This window comes from Homo sapiens, chromosome 14, assembly GCF_000001405.40.
Source record: "Homo sapiens chromosome 14, GRCh38.p14 Primary Assembly".
NCBI lineage: Eukaryota > Metazoa > Chordata > Mammalia > Primates > Hominidae > Homo > Homo sapiens.
The window spans coordinates 81,303,925-81,328,178 of record NC_000014.9 but is presented as its reverse complement, the minus strand read 5'-3'; the positions used below and the strand labels follow the sequence as shown (position 1 = coordinate 81,328,178).

Below are 24,254 nucleotides of genomic sequence, written 5' to 3'. Positions count from 1 at the left end.
ATTGATTGAGCAGCTGCGGTTTGCCAGGCACTGTGCTTGGTATGGGGGAGACAGCGATGAAACTAGTCATGACTACAACTTATTGAGTATCTACTATTTGTCAGACACTGAAACATACTCTTTGCATACTTTATCATGAATTCTCATAAAAGCTGTAAGGTAGGCTTTATTATCTCCATGTTATAGATGAAAAAACTGAGGGTAAGAAGATGAAAAGCCTTGACCAAAGTCATAGCGCTCACAAGTGGCAAAATTAGGTTTGAACTTGAGTGGTGTACTGTGGACCAGTCCTTCACCACTCTTTGACTGAAGGTTTCTGAATGGTGTTTTCCACTTGTTGTTATGTTACAGAAATCTGAGTAATTATTTATAATACTACTAATAATCTCAGTAAAATAGATTTTAATGAAATACGTAGGTGGAAAAAATATATATTGTCTAACATAACATGTCGTGGCCAAAAACAGAAACGGGAAATGTATGCTTTCATTTTGGAAAGTATAAGCCTTTAATATTAATAGCATCCCAGTTAATGAATGAGGAAGAAATGGAAGAAAATCATTTTTCAATCCCTAGGAAATAATACCAAGGCATTGATTCTCAGTGGTTGCTAAGTGCACAAATACCAGAACTTATCAAACGCCAGTTGCCTCTTGATGGAAGTACGTAAGACTGCCTTTTAACTAGCTAGTCTGTCCGAAAATCAAATCTAAATGCGATCAAACTTCTAAATCTAACTATAAATTCCAAAGGGAGAGGAACATGTTAAATCATACCATGATCAAAATGTAGATTGTGGGACATTTTCTGGCAAAGAACCAGGTTCTTCAAGAAGTAAATTGCAAGGAAGAAAAATAAAGATGGAAAAAGAATGTTTAGATAAAACGACAACACCTATGAACCAACTGCAGTATTGACTTGAACAAAGTATAAAAAAAAATTTGATATATTTAGAGGAATTTAACACTGTCTAGAGACTGGATAATATTAAATAATTATAATTCACATTTTATTTTATTTTGAGATGGAGTCTTGCGCTGTTGCTCAGGCTGGAGTGTAGTGGCACAATCTTGGCTGACTGCAGCCTCTGCCTCTCAGGTTCAAGCAATTCTCGTGCCTCAGCCTCCCAAATAGCTGGGATTACAGGCGCGTGCCACCACGCCTGGCTAATTTTTGTATTTTTAGTAGAGACGGGGTTTTGCCATGTTGGCTTCCTTACTTAGGACAATGGGTGGGGAGGAATAAAAAAGAAAGAATTGTCAGGAGTGCAGGAGGATTAGGTCAAACTGTACACCCCAAATCAATCTAAGGTCCCAAGTAATGTCTCAAACTATGAAGACACTTCTGCAACTGTGTTAGCAGGGATAAAACCCATGGAATGATGTTGAAAGCCTCTGGTTTATACAGAAAAACATATTGAGAAAATAGGAAAGTATTGATTCACATTATCCCTAGACAGTTTTTCTAAGAAATGAGTCAGTCAAATCATTCCTCAAATGACCTTTTAATTCTAAGGAGGCAGGCAGGGGAAGCTATTTCTAGTTAAACGAGTAATGCCTGTTCTAACTTGTATATTAATATTGTGTCAAATTTGTGATACAATATGTTTGTATGTACACCGTAGAGTATGTTGGAGTTCCTTGTGTAATGCAGGTTTCAAATGTGGGCACATTTTAAAATTGTTTCATTACTGAGACAGTATAACAAGGTATATACTTTTAGAGAAGATCCACACAATCTTCTGGATATTCTTTCCATCATCAGTAAAAAGGAGGGGTTGTATGAGCCAATCTCGCAAAATCTGAGTCATGGAACATCATTTTACTATTTTACATGATTATTAGATTTACTGTTGTGTCTCTGTTTTTACAAGATTTTATTGATTATGTCTTGAATTTATAGGAAACCAACATGAGGTCTTGGAACAGAACCCGTAATTACAACATTGTTCCTAAGGGAAAATAGGATCCACTTTATAGTGTGGCTTTTAGGAACACAGCGTGGCAAAAATCAGGGTGGCCAATGCCATGTTTGCTTCATTAATAAAACTTCAAGCATTTATTTTGCCGTTCTTGTGTGCTGGGTGCATACTCTGAGGTTGCTCTCTCGATCTGTAAAATGAGGATAATAATAGCAACTGATTGCTGGGGTTGTTTAGGGTAAGGCTTTATTCAATTAATACATTGGGGTGAGAGAGCTGGAAGAGGGAAGAAATTCGTTTCTCTGTCACTTTTTTTTTTTTAACCCGTAGAGTAAAACGTGTAGTATCTATTCAATTGTAATCATGTTTACAGGGGTGTGAGTCCCTCTTCTTTATCCCTTCTCAGTCTGCCCCTCTGTGCATACTGTGGCCCCTATTGCAGACCCTTCTATAAAGTGGTAATCCAGTATTTTAGACCTAACTTTTACTTTTCTTGACTCTAACTTGCCCAAGCAATTCTATATGCTGATATGGAAAATCTCAAATGTATCATTAAGTTTTTTTTAAGTGCCAAATAACACATCACGGGTATCCTTTAATCCAAGTTATGTTGTTTTTAAGAGGGTAGTCATATATGCTTTATATACATAAACATTTCTGAACCAGATACATAAGAAATTGCTAACAGTGGTTACCTCTGGGGAATGGGACAGATTGTTAAGAATAATAGAGAATTTTTTACTTTTTATTTTATGCCCTTATATACTGTTTGAAGTTTTTTATAATGAATTTTTTATAAGTTCAAAAAAAAGAGGAGGAGAAAAAAACAACACATCTCTTTAATACTGTTTCCCAAATTCAGAAGATCCCTTCCCCTCTTTGGGAAGGGAAACGTGGCACACTGTAGGTCCTGAACTTGGAGAGTCACAATGTATATTAGCATACAAAAGGCTATGAGAAGCTACGGTAGAGAAACCTATATAGTACATTTTCCCCCTTTTATTGCACTTACTAGAAACCCACAGAATTACATTTCATGGCATATCAGTTTTGGAAAAGTTATAAAACTTTAAGGAAAGGTATCTAGCCTTAGGTCAGCTGCAGGTGGAGGAAAGGTGAGTGTTGGAGTGGTGAAAGGCATTCCTGGCTGTATGGTGGGAGGATACCAGGTCTTGGGTTCAGGCAAACCTGGGTCCAAATCCGGGGTCTCCCATTCACTAGCTGGCCCAGCATGAGCCAAGTTCCCTAACCTCTGGGTCTCAGTGTGCTCACATGTGAAAGAGGAACAGTTATCCTCCCTCATAAGCACATTTTTAGGGTTAATTGAGGCAAGTACCTGTTCCGTCGCCCTCCGCTCCATCTCCCTCAGCTGTATTACTGCCATGCCTTTGTTTATGAACACCCATGCTTCCTCCAAACCAACAAGTTATTATCCATTTGTGAAAGGCTTCATTTCAGGATTAATCAGAGGTCAGGCTATCAAATAAGTTCTTGAACTTTCAATGTGAATCCATTTCTAAAATCTTGATTTCTAGATGCCTACTTCAAGAATGTGCCCCTTGGACAAGGCAAAGTCCATAGGCACTGGGAGACTGTTGAGAATCCTGTTTCTCTAAAATTCAGCCTAAAAGTGACTCCAGAAACTCATTGTTTAAATCACATCCAGGTTTGCTTGCTCCAGGCTCTTCCAGACCCCTGCCCCAGAGTAACCCTTCACTCTCATTTCCTATGCTAGTGTTAACACTCTAACTCGGAGGAAACAAATTTCAGAGTGAAATGCAAAAGGATGTGTGCTAAAGCACTGCCTTTTGAAGTAACCTTTGCATTAAGCCCTTAGAATCTAATTACCCAAGTGTTATTTGCCTCCCTAAGTACCCATGCCCATGCAGACTGAGCTTAAAGTTCAGGAAGTAATCACAAAAGGAAATCAGAAGGGAGATCTCAGGCTCAGCCTCTGAAGACTCTCCTGTCTGCGCCTGGCCTCTCCCTCCTCCTGGGTGTGTCTGCCCGCCAGAGAAGGCCAGTGAGTAACCTGCACATTTTTTTTTCATCTTGGCCCTTCCCACCCAGACAAGAGGACGGAGTGGCAGACAGGCAGGCAGACGGCAGTGAGTCCTGTTCAAGCATGCTCGGAGCATACCTCCACCCGCACCCACCGCCTGGACCCCTCGCCACCCTCACCCCAGCCCAAGAGGAGCCAGAACCCCGGCGAGGGTCCGGAGGGGGCCTCTGCTCCCAATGGTAAGGGCTGCCCGCAGCAGGAACGCTTCATTCATTTTATTTGCTTTGGTGTTGGCTTTTCTTTTTGATTGTGTTTAGATGGCAGAATTTCTGAGACAATTGAAGGTGTTTTGTTTGGTTAGTTCTCGGTGGTCCCCAGACAAAGAAATGTCTTTTCGCAGGAGGGTTTATTAGAAGTTGTAACCCGATAGCCTGGCCTGGGAAGAAAACTTAACATGCTAATTACCTCTAGTTAGTACAATGTACCCTTTTGGCACTGTAGAAAAACAAAACAAAACAAAAAACTACATTGCTTACCAAATAGGTTTTGAGGAAGAAAAAGTGTGAAGGATTGTGGACATTTTAATAGATAGGCACCTCTGACTAATTGAAATGTAGCTTAAGTGTCAAGATAGCTTTGTAATAGACCAAGGTGATGTTTTGTCTCAAAACAAACAAAAAGAGACCCTTTATTTAAAGGAGTTCAGTGTGGAACGGAAGATGCAAGGTGGGGTTTGAGGAAAAGAGTTACAAGGTAAGTCCAATTAAATATTTGTGAACATGAAGGTATTGAATTAAATCTGTGGTGCTAATGGGAAGAAAAAAGTCTGTGTTCAATGTGGAATTTGTGTGGCATTTAAGGGAGAAAACTGAGATCTTTGTATAGTGTGTTGAGAATTCTTTGAGAGAATGGTCGGGAGGCAAATGGTGGAGGCTGGGAAGCAGGTTTTGTGCAGGGAGCTGGTGCCAAGGCCCTCTCCCTCAGTTGCTGTGGGTGAGAGAGTAATTCAGAGTAATCAAGCACTGCATTGTTAACAGGCTTGTGTGTCTCAAATATTTATTCTAAACACAAGCCGTTGATTGCACTGACATGTGAAGGAATAAAGTTGCTGCCTCTGTTCTTGGCCTAGTCCAAACTTTAATACCTGGGAAGATATTCATAAACATGTAGGAAAGACAAGGCTACATGTAAAGTTAATTTGAGGAATTACATCAGAGTGTGAGGATGCTAAGCTAAGGGGTTTTATAGGAGGGCGGTATGGGAAATGCAATAGAAATTGCCCAAACTGAGGCACTGCCATGACACCTGTGAAGGTTTGACCTATGCCAGATGACTCTGAATATGCAGCACAGGTTTGTTTTAGGCAACTCTGTGCAGGCAACTTAAGGATTCCCTGTACGGAGCAGCCTATGCTTAACATATCCAGGTTTCTAGAGCTGCAGCAAATTGCCCTAAAACACAGTGTACCAAGATGGCACATCTGAACTTTCTGGCATATAGGAAGTCTATGAAGTTGGCTGTGAGTGAGGGTATGAGTTGGGAGGGTCACAGGTAGGGTGAAAATTTCTCTCTTAGGGTGAATGCCCCTCTTCCAAGTTTCAGGAAAGTGCAGTAGTATGTCTTTTGCTGGAGGTAAATCAGCACTACGTCATCATTGTCATGCCCAGTGTTCCTGTGGTGATAATGCCAGTAGTTTGTTTTTTTGCGGCTCTAGTTTCCCCTTGGCTGATTAATCGAAAGCATAGATTGCTTGCAGCCCCATCAGCCAGCTCATTAGAAGACAATCCAAGAATGCCACTTATTTGGAGGCCAAGTGAGCAAGAAGTGGGGGTAGGAACCATGATGATGATTTTGCCTAGAGATTGCTGGTTCAAATTTGTGACTTTTCAGTTATGATTAAAAAACAAATAGAAGCCACTGTAAGTCGCCCATGCAGTTAACGGCACTGATAGCCATCCTGACTCTCATAGGCATTTGTACATTGGATGCTACACGTTACGGTACAAAACCATCACCACTCCAAACGTGCTTCTCTCCCAGAATCAGTGCTCAGGAATAGAATACAGTTTAGAAGAGTGTTGGCAAATTTCCTCCATGTAGTGCCAGCCCCTTGTTAACTTCAGTAGGGATGGCACCAATTCAAGAGGTGGAAGAAGAGACCCAGGGCCAGCAAACACGACAGGTTTTTATTAGGGGGTACTTATGTAGACGGACGGTCCAGTCGCAGCAGGCTGAACAGGAAAACCACAACCACTTACAAAAAGCAAAAACATGCAGTTTATATAGCATTTTCACTCAACACCCACCCCCTAACCTCCACCTGGCAACTTTCATTTGACCAAATCAAAGGGCCTTGATCGCCTGTATGGTCCAGTTTCCATGGGATGGGATGGGGGCTTCAGATGTTCCTCATGGATAAGAAATGGATCTCTGGGTTGGTTGCTCCCAGAATCCTTAGCTCAGAACTCTGAACACATTCAAGTACATCTTTTATACACTCCCATTCATGGCCTGTTTGGTATGTTTTTAGAACTTCCTGGGGTTTCTTCATGAAGCAAATTGAATGCAACATCTGCTTGAATTTGGCTTTCCTAAGGCAACTGTATGGTGAATTTAGCATTTCTTTTTATTTCATTGTGTTTTGCATCTACTTCTGTTGCTTAGTCCTTTAAGCAGTGATCCTACCAAGCTGATTGAAAACTGTATATTTAAAGAGGCATCTAACTGTGGACTTGAGATAGCCTTGCCTTTGAGCAGCATGTACTTTCTCCTTACCAGTTGCTGCATCACCTCCAAAAAGCCTTCAGAACAATACCCAGCTGTGGCCACCACTCTACCATCCTGTGTTTTCTGGTTTCTGGAATTCTTTTTTTTTTTTTTTTTTTAAAGTAGAAACAGGCTCTCACTTTGTTGCCTCGGCTGGTCTTGATCTCCTGGGCTCAAGTGATCCTTTTGCCTTGGCCTCCCAAAGTGCTGGAGTTACAGGCATGAGCCACCACGCCTGGCCCACATGTAAACATTTAAAGAATTTGAGCGGAGCCATCCAAAAGGTCATGGTGATTTTTCTGAAAAACAGAAAGCAGCACCTTAGCTGTAGAGATGCTAGAATAACTGCTGTGACATCCCAGACACGCTGCATGCATCTTGGAGCTTGGATCAGGGAAAATAGTTGTGGATTCAGGCCCTGCAGTATTAGTGCGTTTTCTAAGTGGTCACAGTCTGGCAAGGGTGGGTAAAGAAGGGAGGTAGAGTGAAGAGGGCCTAGAAAACAGCTGGTGCCTAAAATCTAATTAGCATCAGCCTGTAGTCTTTAAGGAGCTCCAGTTTCCTGCTCCTTGGGGTTATTTGCTGGTCTTGTGTGTTATCTTTTCCTGTAATGTTTCTTCTTATGCTTTGGTGCTCCTCATGCTAATGCTCTGGGGTCCTTTAGAGGGTGTGGCTCTGATGATCACTGTCACATTTCATCTGTAGGCACATCCTAAGCCAGGAAGAGACATCGCAGAGACCTGTCCTGAACACATCCTCATAAGAGGGGAGTGTCATCCAGTCTTCTTAACCCCAAAGGATAATACAAAATAGTGCTGAGAGTAAATAGATTGCTTTCGCTTTAGTTTCAGACTGAGATCTTGAGGATTAAGTAAGATGTGTGCATGTGCAGGCAGGAGTAGAAATAATGAATGTAAGATGTAGCTTTAACGTGTGGACTTTGTAATTTTTGAGATGAGAGTGAAAACTTCAGCCCTCACTTAGAAAGAAATCACATTTGGCTGGAAGTGCTGTTTCTCCCCCATGTTATGCTATGTAATGGATTAATTATAAAAATGGTCACAATTACTCTCCTCTTTAAATCTATTTCCTTGAGATAGGACTTTGCAGCTCCTCTTATCAAGGGTTGGAGTCTCTTTCCCTAGCCTGTGAATGTGGGCTTGGCCTTTTTACTTACTTTAGCCAACAGAATTCATAGAAGTGAAGGTGTGTGGGTATGTCAGTTCCAAGCCCAGGTCCCAAGCCAAGGTCTTAAGAGGCTCACTTACACAATTCTGCTTGCTCTCCTAGAATCTGGCGTCTCTTGGAATGTAGACAGAATGGGCTTGCTTGCTGTGGCCCAGAGACCCCATCACCCCAGGTGACAGTGACCTTACACTGGCCACGTGAGTGAGGCAATTCTAGACCAGCCAGCTAACCTCAGACACTTGAGTGGGCCTAGCAGAGATCGGACAAATCCATCCAGATCCATAGACTCATAAGCAATAATAAATGCTTATTGTTTCAAGCTACTGAGTTTTGGAATAGTTTGTTATACTAACATAGCCAACTGATACGTAGTTCCCTGGACATGGTCCCCTTATGGGGTCTATTAATGTCATTATAAACCCTTAGTTCAACTCAGTAGAAGAGATTCAGTCACTGGATGGAGGGGTTCTATTAAATGGGGGTGGTGGGTCCTCAATTCTTGTGATTGTCAGCATTACTCTGAGACATTTTTAACACAGATGCCTAGGCCTTGTACTAGAGTATTCAATCAAATATCTGTAGATGAAGGTTCGGAACCTGTAATTTTTAAAGCTCTGGTAATTGACCAGGATTAAAACCCAATAATTCAATGGTCTTGTCAATCCCTTCCATTACTGAAAGATGCAGTGATTCCAGTTCATCTATACTTAAACAAATAACACTCAGGTGGTTCAGAGTTCATTACTGACTTGATAGACTTCTAGCTGCAAAAGTAAACTTTATGATCACCTTTGGCCAAAAGCAAACTAACCCAGATGCTAGATGGGAAAAATCCACAGTTGCATATTGATGGCTAGAATGTATATTGTTTACCATTGTATCTGCCTGGGGTTTAGACATGATGCGGACTCATGAATAAATCCTGGACACTGGGAATGTAATAGGACCTTGCTTTGAGGATCTTAGAGTCAATTGAAAAAAAAAATCAGGTATAAATTACTTATAATGTAGTAAGAAAACAAAGCAAGCAGTATTTTAACCATTAAATTTCAGGTGAAATTTTACTATGGCATATGTACCAGTTGTTGCTTACAATAATGCTGCTTTACAAACAACCACAAAATCTGTTTTATACAACAATGTGCATTTCCTAACCACTGTGTCTGTGGTTTGAGGGGGGCAATTGGTTGATTTTAGGCTGGACTCTAGAGGCGGGTAGCTTTATACCATGTCTCTCATCCTTCCCTTGGCACCAGCCGCTACCTTTAGCATGTTATTCTCGTGGAGATGGCAGAGATGGGGCTACAAGCCACAGTGTGCAAGCTCATTTTAAGCTTCTGATAATGTCACTAATCTGTTAGCATCCTGTTGGTCAAGGAAAGTCACATGACCAAGCACAGCGCCAGGGCAGGGAAATGTATTTCACTTTTTTATTTGTTTTAATTTTTTATTATATTTTTTGAGATAGAGTCTCACTCTGTCATCCAGGCTGGAGTGCAGTGGCGTGATCACAGGTTCCGTCTCCCAGGTTCAAGTGAGTATTGTGTCTCAGACCCCGGAGTAGCCGGGATTACAGGCACCGGCCACCACACCTGACTAATTTTTGTATTTTCACTAGAGATGGGGTTTTACCATGTTGACCAGGCTGGTCTCAAACTCCTGACCTCAAGTGATCTGCCCGCCTCAGCCTTTCAAAGTGCTGGAATTACAAACGTGAGCTACCAGGACCAGCCTATTTCACTTTTTTAGTGTGAGAAACTGCAAATACTTGTGGCAAAGGGCATGGATATGGAGAAGAGTGAAGAAATAGAGCCATTAAAATACTCTTCCCCAGTGGGAGAAGGGTGTATGAAGAGGGAGTTGCATTTTTTCCTGCTTTGGAAGGCTCCTAAAGTCCTAGCTGGACCCTAGAATAACCCAGAAGCAGAGAAGTGTGCATCCTCTGGAGCCGTCTTCTGCTCCTCGTGATGTGGAAGTAAGCAGGGGACTCATAGCTGCTGTGGTCTGTCTAATGGAATTTTGAAGGGAAAGAAACTCCTGCCTTGTGCAGTGGCTCACACCTATAATCCCAGCACTTTGAGTGGCCGAGGCTGGCAGATCACTTGAGGTCAGGAGTTCGAGATTAGCCTGGCCAACATGGTGAAACCCCGTCTCTACTAAAAATACAAATTAGCCGGGCATGGTGGTGCACGCCTGTAATCCTAGCTACTCGGGAGGCTGAGGCAGGAGACTCGCTTGAACCCAGGAGGTGAAGGTTGCAGTGAGCCAAGATTGCACCACTACACTCCAGCCTGGGCAACAGAGTGAGACTCCGCCTAAAAAACACACCCCCAAAATAAAAAAATAAATAAAAAACAAAAGAGAAAGTCCTGAAGATATCTCAAACTTGATAGCTGCAGAGATGGCATTGGAATTCCTGTAGAATGCCTCTGTTTCCATTCCCACTGTATCCTCTAAAATGTAAAGATTATGGGTTACTGGGCTTGGTTATCCACTTCCCAGTTCCAGGAGGGGTATTATGTGTGTGGTGTCTTTACTTTAGATCACATGATATCCCCTTATTGTCATCCCGTTTTTCTCAGGTGAAAAGATATGAGTTTCCATCTACTCTGAACACTGGGACCTTTTCCCATAGCCGAGCCCAACATTGCAGTGGTTAAAAGAGATTTGGGTGAGACTGTCCCTTCCCGATGGCACATCTTTCCCTGATTTATTTTGTGAAAGGCTTGTGCCTAAGCCTCTCTCATTGAGACAGGAAACCAGTGTTGTCACATATGATTGAGATTCTCAGATATTCTCCAGGGCAGAAATTATGTTTTATGGTGACACTAAGAAGAAGAATAAAGCACTTTATTTTAGGCCACTAATTTATAGGCTTTGCTATTGATCATTCTGTGCCTTTCAATATATGTGGCTAGTTTGGTTTGTATATTTGTCCCCTCCAATTCTCATGTTGAAATGTGATCCCCTATTTTGGAGGTGGGGCCTGGTGGGAGGTTTGGGTCCTGGGGGCAGATCCCTCATGAATGGCTTGGTGCCCTCTCTGTGTTAATGAGCGTGTGCTCCCTCTATTTGTTCACTCAACAGCTGGTTGTTTAAAAGAGCCTAGCATCTCTCTTGCTCTTTCTCTTGCCACGTGACATGCCTTCTCCCCCTTCACCTTCCCACCCTGAGTAAAAGCCTCCTGAGGCCTCACCAAAAGCAGATGCTGCTGCCATGCTTCTTGTACAGTCTGCACAACCATGAGCCCAAATAAACCTCTTTTCTTTTTTCTTTTTTTTTGAGACAGAGTCTCACTCTATCACCCAGGCTGGAGTGCAGTGGTGCGATCTCGGCTCACTGCAACCTCTGCCTCGCGGGTTCACGCCATTCTCCTGCCTCAGCCTCCCATGTAGCTGGGACTACAGGTGCCTGCCACAATGCCCGGCTAATTTTTTGTATTTTTGGTAGAGACGGGGTTTCACCATGTTAGCCAGGATGGTCTTAATCTCTTGACCTCGTGATCCACCCGCCTTGGCCTCCCAAAGTGCTGGTATTACAGGCGTGAGCCACCACGCCCGGCCAAACCTCCTTTCTTTATAAATTACCCAGTCTCAGGTCTTCCTTTGTAGCAATGCAAAATGAACTAACACTGTGGTGTATCAAATTTACCTGTGAGGAAACTGAAGTACAAAGGATTATGTAACCTTCCTGAGATCACATCTAATGGCCAACTGAGATTAGCCACCTATCTTCTTGTTTTTTCAGCTTTTTCTTGGCAATCTGCTGATAGTACCTTGTTTCCCAAAACAAGCATTACTTACTGAGTATAGCATTACTTACTGAGTTGATCTTCCTAAGAAACCCCGCCTCCCTACTATTTGTGCTCCATGGGAAAAAAGGAAATCTAGCAGGAAGGTGTTTAACAATGTGAGATTTCCATACCACAATGTTAGAGAAAGTAAGCTGGATTATAGGTCATTCCTAAACTGCATTTCCTGAAGTTTCTTCATTACTGCCCTGACCACTGAAATAGACGGCGAGGAGACTATTTAGAAGTTCTCACAAAGTCTTTGTGACTGTGCTGCTTTTACATGTTTTCTGAGCCCTCACCTGCCATTTCTGTTGCTTGGTGACTGTAAATGAGGGATCATAACCTCATGTTCAACAGTGGTTCCCTGACAGATTATACTATTTCTGTTTTATGTGAAAAAATTTGTGTAGTTAAACAACGTGTTTTAACTAATGTTTTGTAGGAGGCATGATATGATTGGAGCAGGCATTTTTATTGGTATTTTTCTCCAATTAACACATTGCAAACAATCAAATAATTATAATGGCCCAGAAAATATAGGGTCTGCTCCAACTGATAGATAAGCTGGTTATCTTGGATAGGTTGTTACCTTTCTGGTGACGTTTTTGCTGTAAATATCATATTGTCTCCCGTATACATGGATGCTACATAATATATTGTTGTTTGAGCAATAATTTCATATCCTCCTCCTCTTCTTGCTCAATGCCAAGGGCCATGTCTGCTCTGTTTACCACTTAAAACCTGGGAGCCAGCATAATAGAGCCTAAGTAGGTATTGAATGAGTGAATGAGCAAATGCTAAGACTACAGCACCCAGCTCATAAGAAAAATTTGGGATTCTTCCCAGGTGTTTCTGCCCCTGAGAAAGGACAGTGAAGGGTTAATGTTCTCTGCGGGAGCAGGAGGGATTTGGATATGGATCTCAGCAGAGCTGCTGGAATCACATTCTTTCTGCTACTATAGCAACAGGTTGAGAATTCTGCCAGTATCGTCACCTGCCTACGTTGGAAATGCCTGCGTGCAGGCGACTTCATTGTCTGGGGGGACCACTGTTTTTTTTATGATGTTTCAATAAAGCAGCTTCTTTTTGGAGACAAAGAGACAGCACAAAGCAGGGGCTAAGAATCATGGAAAGGCAGAGAGAGATCTTGTTTTTATCTGAGGGACATTTCCAGTCTTTTGTCCCTTGAAGAGGTGTTGAGTGAGGAAGGAATTGAGGTTTTATCTGTAGTTGGTAGCATCTTTTTCTGTCTTCTAAACGAGGCCTCTCTTCTGAGATGTAACCCCTGGCAACATTTCAAAAACTTTCTCTTACTATTATTGCTTAGCAAATAGAGTGATAGTAAAAACTCTTGCCTGTGTTCACTTCTAAATTTGGAGGTGCCAGAATGGACCAGAATGTAGGTTTTCCTCTGCATTTACCATTCTTCTAACCAACTCTGTATCTTCGTTGTTTACTGAGAAGGAAAAGCTAACCAAGAATGCAAAATGGAGGTGTTAGGCCAGGCATGGTGGCTCACGCCTGTAATCCCAACACTTTGGGAGGTTGAGGTGGGAGGACTCCTAAAGCCCAAGAGTTCAAGGCTGCAGTGAGCCATGCCACTTCACTCCACCTTGGGCAACAGAGTAATACCCCCGTCTCTAAAAACAAAACAAAAAAAAACAAAGAGGTATTATTTTTATTTGGTGTAGCAGTGTTGTAAAGAGAAGAACATGAGGAAGCTACAGAGGAAAGTTGCTTAAATGGTATTATGTTCCCAGGGGGCTTCACAGCATGTAATAAAATGCCTAGCTTATTACTCAGGCCTGTTTCTTGTGATCTCTGTAAGTGGCAGGGAAGGCTCAGGTGTGGTGATAATCAGAGCTTAGGGCTAATTGTGGATCTTGCTGGGTTAATGCATGGAATCAATAGGCCTTAACTGTCACTTTGGATTGATGGATCACTTTGCCACAGTACCATGATGACATCTACATCTTGTTTTCACTTTGCGTGCTGGCAGGAAAATCTGCCTGGTTCACTCTTTGTTGCTGGTTTACAAATACATCTTGTCAAAAATAACCTGGACATATTGAGCCTTTCTTCACAAACAGCACAGAATTCAATTTTTCAAAGCTTTTATCTTTATCCCACTATAGACCATTTGAATATAGGATAAACCCTTTCATCTTGTATAAATTTCAAGGGCCCCCATCACTGCCTTGAAGTTTGTGTGGCCACTGAAACTGCCGTTCTTGTGCCAGTGTAGTCAAAAGGGCACTGGGTTGGGCACCAGAAGCCTGGACATCTGGTCCTACCAGGAAGTGGCCTTGGCCAGCTCATATGGGGATTTTAATTTCACTATATGTAAAATGAAAGACTTGGATGAGATTTCCAGGATTTGTCTTACATCTCTTCCTACATGTGAAAAAGCAGTTGTTTTAAAAGTAGCACAGGCTTTGCTTCACTGAAGTCTTACAATTTGCAAGGCACTGGAAGGCTCTGTCGCTTACTTCTTCCCTAACTCTTAGTCACACACCACATCACCTCTCTGCTTCAGTATTGCTTCATCAGGGAAGCCTTCCTTGAACCTCAGGCTAGATCAGGACTCCCACAGTATGTTCCCTAATAAATCTGTTATTTTCTTTCATCATACTTAACCACACTTTGTAATGAATGATCTGTTTCATTAGTGTGTGTGTGTGTGTGTGTGTGTGTGTGTATTTTTTTTTTTTTTTGAGACGGAGTCTCTCTTTGTCATTGAGGCTGGAGCGCAGTGGCACGATCTTGGCTCACTGCAACATCTGCCTCCCGGGTTCAAGCGATTCTCCTGCCTCAACCCCCTGAGTAGCTGGGATTATAGGCACCCGTCACCATACCTGGCTAATTTTTGTATTTTTAGTAGAGATGGGGCTTCACTATGTTGGCCAGGCTGGTCTCAAACTCCTGACCTCAAGTGATCTACCTGCCTCGGCCTCCCGAAGTGTTGGGATTACAGGCATGAGCCACCACGCCTGCCTGGCCTGGCTTTTTTTTTTTAATCAATTTTCTTTCTCACTGTGAGACTGAAGAGTTGTGAAGCAAGCACCCAATCTGTTTTGTTCACCATCGTATCTGCACGTAGGAGTCATGCAGTAAACATTCACTAAACGACAGAAGGTGCTGCGTCAGGCTTTATGGAGAGTCTAAAGATGATTATATTGCAGTCTCTGTCCTCAAGGATCTTAAGATTTACTTTCTCTGTTTTTCTTCTCTTCCTTTATTATCTACCTCTAAGACCCAAAATATGCTACTGGAAATTAAAACAAAACAAAACTCCCTGGGTTCTTGTCTTTGATCTAATCACTAGATAGGTTTTGATTTTCCTTGCCTGGACTGGTAAGTCTTTTGTGACAGAAACCACGGAATGAGGCCAGGCCCTGGAAGGAGATTATAGTAGATAGTATGTAGAATGGAAATTGTAGACAGAAAGAGAAAGAAAGAGGTAGGAAGGGAGGAGTACAAGGAGGACAATGACAAGAAGAGCAATGAAAACACGGGGCTTTGCCCTTTTAATTAGTTTGCCTGTAAGGGTCCTTCTTTTTTGACTGCCGAGCCTTACAAGCAAGGACGTGTTTCTTAAATAGAATTCTTACCGGCATCGTTGTGTAATAGCACAAAGAATTTGCTACCAAAATATGATTACGTGCATACAAAAAGTGGTCTGAATTGCATAAAATATTTTGCTTTCAAAAAATTACCAGTTTTCAAAAGGATTGGCAGGTTCCTGCAAACCAGTAGTTATGGTCAATACAAGCAAATGCATCATGAAACCAGAGCTAGCCATTACATCAGTTATGTTTAAACAATGAAGGGCAATTTGATTTTAAGCAGCTAGGCTAAGTCTAGATGCTGGGAGGCAAGAGGGAGAATTCCTTAGGTTGGAGGTGTGATGGACGTTCATCTGCTAGGTACAGAAGACTTAGGGGGAAGTTGATTGAATTAGAAGGTACAACTTCTTTTCTTCTTTCTGAGTTTGCAATTTATAGAGGAAGTAGTTCAGGGGAGTTTTACTATGTAAATTAAGTTTCAGTAGAAAGCATAAGCTCTCCACCTTCAAGAAGTGAAGTAGCCTCTTTGCGTTACCTTGAAGACAGGTGTAGATAAGAGAGTATGGGCAGGTAAGACCAGTAAAAGTTTTTCTGACTCCTCTCCCTAAGTGTTTAGCTTTAATGGCCAAAGTCAGGCTTTCTCTGCATAGTTATCTGAGGTTCCCTTCTTGCCAGCACCCACAGACACAGTGGGTGTTAGTAGCCTGCCTTTTTATGCTTGCCTGGTCCAGTTGGGAGCTTAGATCCCAGCAGACTCTATCCATCCCAGAACCATTTCACGAAAAGAAAATGACTAAGACAATCATGTAATCTCTCTTCTTATGAGGGAGAAGGAATTTTAGTCAAGAATGCAAGGTGTGCCTGCAGGCTTTACACCTATGCTGCACACATGCTACGTACACAAGCGTGGGCATGTGCACACACACACAGGTCCATTCTGCTTATTCACTTACTGATGAAGAGACATGCCGTGTTGGCTAAAGATCAGGAAATAATTGTGTTGGGTTGACAAGCAGCCAAACCATAAGGCTCACATGTCTCATTGGGCAATATTAATTGGCCAACCTTCATTTAAAAAATATGCAAAACAGAAGTAATATGTATGAATGTAGTGCTTTCCTATCTCATATCCCCTGACTCGTTTCCAGAGAAAGTCTCCTATAAGCATTCTCTTTGTTTTCTAGGGATCTGCTTCTTTCTAGACCTGTGGGAAATAAATAACATTTTAACAGAATTATTTCTAAAGCAAATCCCTTTCTTTTCAGTGGCAAAGCCTCTGTTAAATCTCAGCTCTGCCACTTCCTAACTGTACAACTAGCAGCGATGTTATTTAACCCTTGTGCCTCATTTTCGTCAATTTTATGTGGAGTTAATAGAATGTCTCTGTCATAGGATTCTTGTGAGAAGGAAATAAGATCATCTAAGAAATCTTCTTTTGTACAGTACCTGGCTCATCGTATGATTTTTAAAATTGTTACTGTATTTAATAATATCTTGAAGAGATATTCAGCCTTTTCTTTTCTCCTTTACCCTTCTCAAATTAGAAACACCCCTTGTGACATCTGGTGCTTCTCAACATCAGGGGTTCTGCTGGGGTAGGAGGAGCCTCGGTGAGGAAGAGAGGCGAGCAGAGCAGAGCAGAGCAAAGCAGAGATGATTAGGCAGGAATGAGGGTGATAGAGACCTATTCCCATACTCTTCTCCTGCCTCCTATTCCATTGCTCTTTCTGGTATATTATACTGCTTCTTAACCTGTTGGTGGCTGGGTATAATACTAGGTGCAATACAAAAAAGAATATAAATTCAGCTCTATTGTCCAAGAAGTGGTCATCTAAGTCCCAGGCTTACTTTCCCGTCTTCTCCAAGTCCATATACTTGCCTTTTAGCTCAAATCCTAGCTCAAACCTACCCTGTGCACTGATGCCTAATAGGGAACAAGTACTCGAGGGATATCAGTGGCACCCGTTGACTCACCATAGAAGACAGAGACATAGTCCTCAAATCCTTTGCATTTAGAGAAAAACACCTATGAAAAGTCAAAGGCCTTTGCATTTAGAGGAAAACACCTATGAAAAGTCAAAGGTCAAATATCAAACTTCCTAAAAGCTCCATTCCCTCTGGACTTTCAGGCTTGAGGGGAAGGAATGTGAATCATTGGACCTGGAAAGAGGGCATGGGGAGAGGAAACAGGAGGTTTCCTGTCCATCTCTGCCGTGAAAGAGATGTCAGTGCAATGCAGCAGCGTATCCTGATACACAAAATAGGAGAGATAATTGAATATTAAATGAGATGTGTATATAAAACATGATTTTAGGGCCTGGAATATAGTAAGTCCTCAATAAATGTTAGCCATAATTAGTTCATGAATAACATCTGGATACTCAGCTATTTGGAGGGCAATTAGACTTCTCAGTCTTACGTAAACCTTACTGCCTATTCCTAATGCTGCCAGCCACTCACATGTTGACCACATTGAATGGGGAGGAGATGCTGCTCACACTGGTCCATCTATCTGCACCTCTAGTTTGTCTTAATTGTTCATAGGTTGAAATTAAATGACCCATTTTGAGGGTTCACAGTTACTGTTCTGTGCAAGAGAAGAAGTGTATGACAAGCAGGCACATCACAAAACAAGCAGGCAGCTCTCCTGGCAATGACTGCAGGATGGTACTATATTTACATACATTTTATCTTTAATGTGAATTTTTATTTTACTATGTCTTTTATTTGTGTCTTATCAAAAGCAGTGTAATATTCTTAACTCATTCTGGCCAAAGTTGGGTGACTTACACCGTTGTCTTTCATAATATAAAGTAGAAGAAGAATATATATGAATTTTAGGGTTTTAAAGACAAGATGAATTCAGGATCATCTAATCCAGCCCCCTCACTTTAAAGTGTGGAAATTGATTCCTGGGGTATTAAATAATGAATTTTCTGAGTGGCAGAAGGGGAGGTCTCCCAGCTCTAATTCAGAGTCCTGCATATATGATCTCTTGACCTGCTACTCTTCCAAAGTGACCATGAACATAAAACTGTTTGAAAGCTGCTGTTTTGAAATGTAAGAGTGGTCATCTGTGCAGAGGATTCTCAAATAAGATACCACCACCTTTGGCCCAGTCTCTTCCTGTCTTTGGTACGTTATCCCTAACTCTCCACAGGAAATACATGCCTGCCTATTATTTGGAAGAGGCAATGATGACAGAAAGAATGGTTCCTGTTTTTTCCCTCTTTAGGATAGCTCCTCCCCAAACCCTGTCCCTTAGATACATAATCATGATCAAAACAAAATAAGATTCCTGAGCTACATACATGGCTCTAGGGATTGCCTAGAGTGTTTCGTAGTGAAACCTCATGCTCTAGCTCTGCAATTCCAAGGAAGGATCAGATTTGCAGAGCACTAGACCTAGGGATTTATTAATAGATTTTCTCAAGGATAATTAAGTGATTTAAAAAATTATCATAACTAAGTAAAATTTTAAAGTACATGTAAATAAATGAGAAGGCATAGAGAAAGTATTTGGAGACAATAAATATACATTCAAGATATAATAGATATTGTTCAAACCAAGATTTAGCAAATTCTAGAATTATACAGACTAGACTAAATTTTTTTCTTTATAGATTATCTTTTTTTTAATAGTTCAGATCTAATATTTGGTACCTCCTTGTTTGTTTAAAGCCAATAATAACAATAACTGTTACCTGTCAAGTAGCTGCCATGTGCCAGTGTAATTAATGCTTGTCATGAGATCTCATTTAATTTGCACAGTACTGTGAGTTAAGTATGATTTCCCTCATTTATTGATAAGGATACTGAGGCTCATGGGTCAAAATAACGAGTTTTTTTTTTTTTATAGAATTTTGACAACCTATTTCCATTCTCATAGAAGCAGGGCAAAGCAAGATTTTAGGCAAACACCAGGGAAAGGTTAATCTAGTTGCTGAACCAAATAAAGCACTCCTATCAGAAGCCCAGCCTATTCTCCCTGCCCTTGAGAATATTGAAGACATAGCCTTTTAAAGCAGCCTTTCTGTCTCAAATCCTGCCACAACCCTTTAGTGTATGTATGTATGTATGTATGTATGTGTATATATATATATATACACACACACACATATATATATATATATATATATATATATATATATATATATATATGGGTAAAACCATGTCCTCTGGGTGAATTTGGTTGTCTCTTGAGAATTTCTGTTTCCTCCCTCAGTTCTTTTATTCTCCCTTGCACCAAAAGCTGCCCTCTCTTCTTTGCTCCCTCCCCTGCCCATGGGTTATTAGGGATGGACGTAGAGTTGTAGCATGAGTGGCCAGGCCTTATTAGACGCCAAGAGGGATACCCTTGAATAAATGCCCCACCTTCAGCATGTAGAATTCTGGGGTTAGGTTTTGTCTGCTCAGTGTTCTTTTAAAAATAATTTCTAGGCTGGGCACGGTGGCTCATGCCTGTAATCCCAGCACTTTGGGAAGCTGAGGTGGGCAGATCACCTGAGGTCAGGAGTTTAAGACAAGCCTGGCCAACATGGCAAAACTCCGTCTCTACTAAAAATACAAAAATTAGCCAGGCATGGTGGTGGGTGTCTGTAATCCCAGCTACTTGGGAGGCTGAGGCATGAGAATTGCTTGAACCCAGGAGACAGAGGTTGCAGTGAACTGAGATCGCGTCTGCACTCCAGCCTGGGTGACAGAGCAAAACTCTGTCTCAAAAAAATAAATAATAATAATTTCTGAGTCTGAGCTAGATTGCATAAATCCAGAGCAGGTAAGCGTAATGACAGTGTTTCAAACATACATTTCTGTTTGGGAAGTCCTTTCAGAACCCATTTATATTCAATAGACAAAAGCCATTTTCCTTTAGCTTCTGTGTCCTAATAAAAGATAAAGATATAACAGCTTCAGATATATTATCTGATTATCAACCATGCCCATCAGATACAGTTGACCCTTGAACAACATGGGAGTTAGGAATGCCACCCCCAAGCAGTAGAAAATCCACATATAACTTGACTCCCCAAAAACATAACTACTAAAATAGCCAACTGTTGACTGGAAGTCTTACCAATAACATAAAATGATTAACACATATTTTTTGTGTTATATATACACTACAGACTGCATTCCTACAATAAAGTAAGCTAGAGAAAAGAAAATGTTATTAAGAAAAGCATAAGAAAGAGAAAATATATTTACTGTTCCTTAAGTGTAAGTGGATTATCATCCTCGTCTCCTTCACATTGAGTAGGCTGAGGAAGAGGAGGGGTTGTCTGGGGTGGCAGAGGCAGAAGAAAATTTGCATATAAGCAGACCAGTGCAGTTCAAACCCCTGTGGTTCAAGTGTCAACAGTAGACTATTAATTCTTTCTCATTTACAAGAAGATTGAGGCTCAACTAGGCTTTTCTATTCAAAATCACACACCAGCCAGTGACATTTGGATTCCAGATTTCTCTAACTCTGAAGCCCAGGCTCTTACATACTGTTTTGTATTGTCCCTTTTTTAAAAAGAAAATAAATTTATAGAAATTTACTCACTAGCTTTGAGTCCAAGTGAGTTTTGACTGTTTTGAAAAATTACACTCAATCAGCCTCAAGGAATGAAGATTTTCTACTGCTTAGTTCATGCTGAAGACAACACTGACCGTTCTGAAATGCTTCCAAAAGATGCAATCCAGAAATGCCTAATGTTATAATTGCATCAGTGCAATCTGTGCACGGCTCACCAGCTTAGACTCACTTGAAGGTGTAATTTCTTTCTGTGTGTTTTTTAAATTTCTCTTGTTAATTCTGGCCTGTGCTCATATCTTGTGAAATGTAGAGGATCTAAGGGAGTGATCACTGAGATGATTCCCCAAACATCCTTCCAGTTATAACAGTCAGAGTTTCTATAGGTGTGCACCTCCCCATGCTTGCTATTCATGATCAACTTGACTTTTAGAAGTGCTCATTATTTAAATGATATTCCACCCAAATTATTGTTTGCTCCCCATTTAAATAATCAGTGCTTGTTGCTATAGTGCCAACTAAAAAAGATAGTAATTATCCTGCTTGGGCACAGCTGCAGAGCTGACTTTGCTTGCTAATTTGTTAAAGGGTTAATGTCCTATTGCATTTTTTTAATTGTCTGCTTTATTGGAGGATGCTCAGTTTTAACTGGATTTCCTCTTCTTTATTTCCCTAAGAGCCAATGAGATGAAAATGCCATTGTTTTTCCTAATGTGGTGTCAAGGCAGAACCATCTCTGGGGATGTCAGGAAGTCATCCTGCAGTCGTGAAAGGATGAGGACTGAAATCCGTGAAGGTGAAATTTCTTGTTTGAACAGTGTGACTGATCAGACTTTAACTCTGTGCTTAGTGCCATATATTAAAATAGAGAACATCAGCCAGGCACAGTGGCATAGACCTATAGTCCCAGCTACTTGAGAGGCTGAGGCAGGAAAATCACTTAAGCCCAGGAGTTCCAGGCTGTAGTATGCCATGATCACACCTGTGAATTGCCACTGCACTCCATCCTGGACAACATAAACTCCATCTCTTAAAAAAAAATAGAGCATATGGCGCCTGTAGTCCCATCTGCTCAGAGGCTGAGACACGAGAATCACTTGAACCCGGGAGGTGAAGGTTGCAGGGAGCCACAATCACACCACCGCACTCCAGCCTGGGCGACTGAGTGAAACTCCATCTCAAAAAAAAAAAAAAAAAAAAAAAAAAAGAGTATGTATGTGTGTGTATATATAAAATAGAGTGTATATATATATATATATAGAGAGAGAGAGAGATTTAAAAGAATCAATAGGATTCTTTGGTTGCAATTAAAAAAAATTAAAAAGGAGAGTGTATTGCAAGTTGAGGGTGGGGGCTGCTCACAGAGTTGAAGGGGAAGTTAAATAATCAAGCAGAAAGGCCAAGCTCAGAAAAGGCCAGAGCTAGATCAGCTCTTGGGTCGCTGGCAAGGAGTTATAGCTGGTTTTTGCTGAGTACCACTATCTTCATGAATGAGCAACAACCATTTTCAGATTCATTTTCATTTTCCAAAAGAACCAAATACCAGGCGAAAAGTTTTGCATTGATTTGGGTTAGCATGTGACTACATCAGGGTGAGGAACCTTAACTGACAATCCCACCAGTCAATCTCTAATAAGGTAAGTCCCTTAAAAATATATCTTAAACGAGACTTAAAAAGGACTAACCATAAAGGAAAAAATTGATAAATTAAACCACATGTAAATTAAGAATGTCTATTAAGCAAAAGCCACCATTAAGAAAGTTAAAGGCAAGCTGCAGCATAAGAGGAGGAGATATTTGCAATAAATACATAATAACAAAGAAATCAAATCCTGAATATATAAAAAAAACTTCTATAGATCAACAAGAAGACAGCAGACCACCCAATGGACAAAAGCCTTGAAAAGGTACTTCACAAAGGAGGCTATCCAAATGGCCAATAAACATATGAAAAGGTATACACCTTCAGTGTTCATCAGTGAAAGTTCAGTAAAATCCACAATATAACACACCACACACCCACCGTCATAGCTCAAATGAAAATAACAGGCAGTATCCAGTGTTGGTAAAAATGTAGAACAACCAGAACACATATACACAGTGGGTGGGAGTGTAAATTGGCATAGTCGCTTTGCATATCCAGTGAGAGAGCAGTTCTGCTCCTGAGTACCCAAGACAGAAGCAAGCATGTGTGCATCAAAGGCATGTGCAAGAATATTCATAGAAGCCTGGCTCTCAAATGTCCATCGACACTAACATGGATAAATTGTGTCACATTCACACAATTGAATACGATGCAGAAATGCAAACTAACACATCACATGTAATGAAATGAATGAATCTCATGAACATAAAGAGAACATACTATATGAATTCATTTATCTAAGTTCAAAAACAAGCACGTTACAGTATGGTGTTAGGAGTCAGAATAATTGTTACCCTGGGGGAAGAGGTAGTTAGTGATAGGAAGGGGGTACAAAGGGGTCTTCTGGGGATCTGTCTTTTGAGATAGTGAATTACCTACATGTCTTCACTTTGTAAAAAGCTATTGAACTTTAAACTTATGATTTATGTTATTTTCTGTGTATTTTATACTTTTTAAAAAGTTTGCCAAAAAAACAGAATAACAAGAAAGGCTAAAGTAACAATGCCTGGGTTTGAATCCTGATTCCATCCCTCCCTCCCTTCCTTCCTTTTTTCCTGTGACAGTCTCACTCTGTCACCCAGGCTGGAGTGCAGTGGCGCGATCTTGGCTCACTGCAACCCCCGCCTCCCAGGCTCAAGCAATTCTCATGCCTCAGCCTCCTGAGTAGCTGAGATTCATCACAGGCCTGTTTCATCACACCCAGCTAATTTTTGATATTTTTTGTGGAGACAGGGTTTCACCATGTTGGCCAGGCTGGTCTTGAACTCCTGACCTCAAGCAATCCACCTGCCTCGGCCTCCCAAAGTGCTAGGATTACAAGCATGAGCCACCATGCCCGGCCCTGATTCCATCTCTAACAGCGTGAGCTTGGGCAAGTTACTTAACTTTTTTGTGCTTTAGTTTTGTCATCTGTAAGAGGGAGATAAGAGCAGTACCTACCTCACAGGGTTGTTGAAAGGATCAAAGGAGATAATCCACGTAAAGTGCTTGAAACAGTGTCAGATACACAGTAACCAGAAAATAACTCTTAAGTAGATACACTTTACAGTGGCTCCTCCATAATAGGTGTGTGGGGGAATCTAAAAATGTACAAAACCCTGGTCTCAAGGAGGTTTTAATCATAATTAGAAAGATGAGATACGTAAAAGAACAACTATTTGACTCTACAAGAGAGTATTGGGAAATTCCAAATGAGCGATGCCGATAAGAAAATCAGAGGAATTTGGTGGAAGGAGTGATTACTGTAGTTTAGAGTGTTCTGGGCAAAACTCATGCCGTTGTTAAAAGTCAGGATAGTCATTATTCACGGTCGGGGAAGAGGTTGGTCAGGAGCACAAAGGCAATTGTTTCTTGATCT

The 24,254-nt window shown here is 41.2% G+C and overlaps 1 protein-coding gene across 15 annotated transcripts in view; it reads left to right on the top strand.

Moving 5' to 3' along the window:
* Positions 1–24,254, top strand: part of STON2 (stonin 2) — a 175,814-nt gene that overhangs the window by 108,287 nt on the left and 43,273 nt on the right. For 9 of the 15 annotated variants that reach the window (NM_001366849.2, XM_011537242.3, XM_024449735.2 and 6 more), the window contains one exon: positions 3,992–4,162. The exons of the other annotated variants lie outside the window; for them this stretch is intronic. In NM_001366849.2, coding sequence (NP_001353778.1) covers positions 3,992–4,162 — 171 coding nt within the window. The remainder of the gene's footprint in view (positions 1–3,991; positions 4,163–24,254) is intronic. 15 annotated transcript variants of the gene reach the window in all.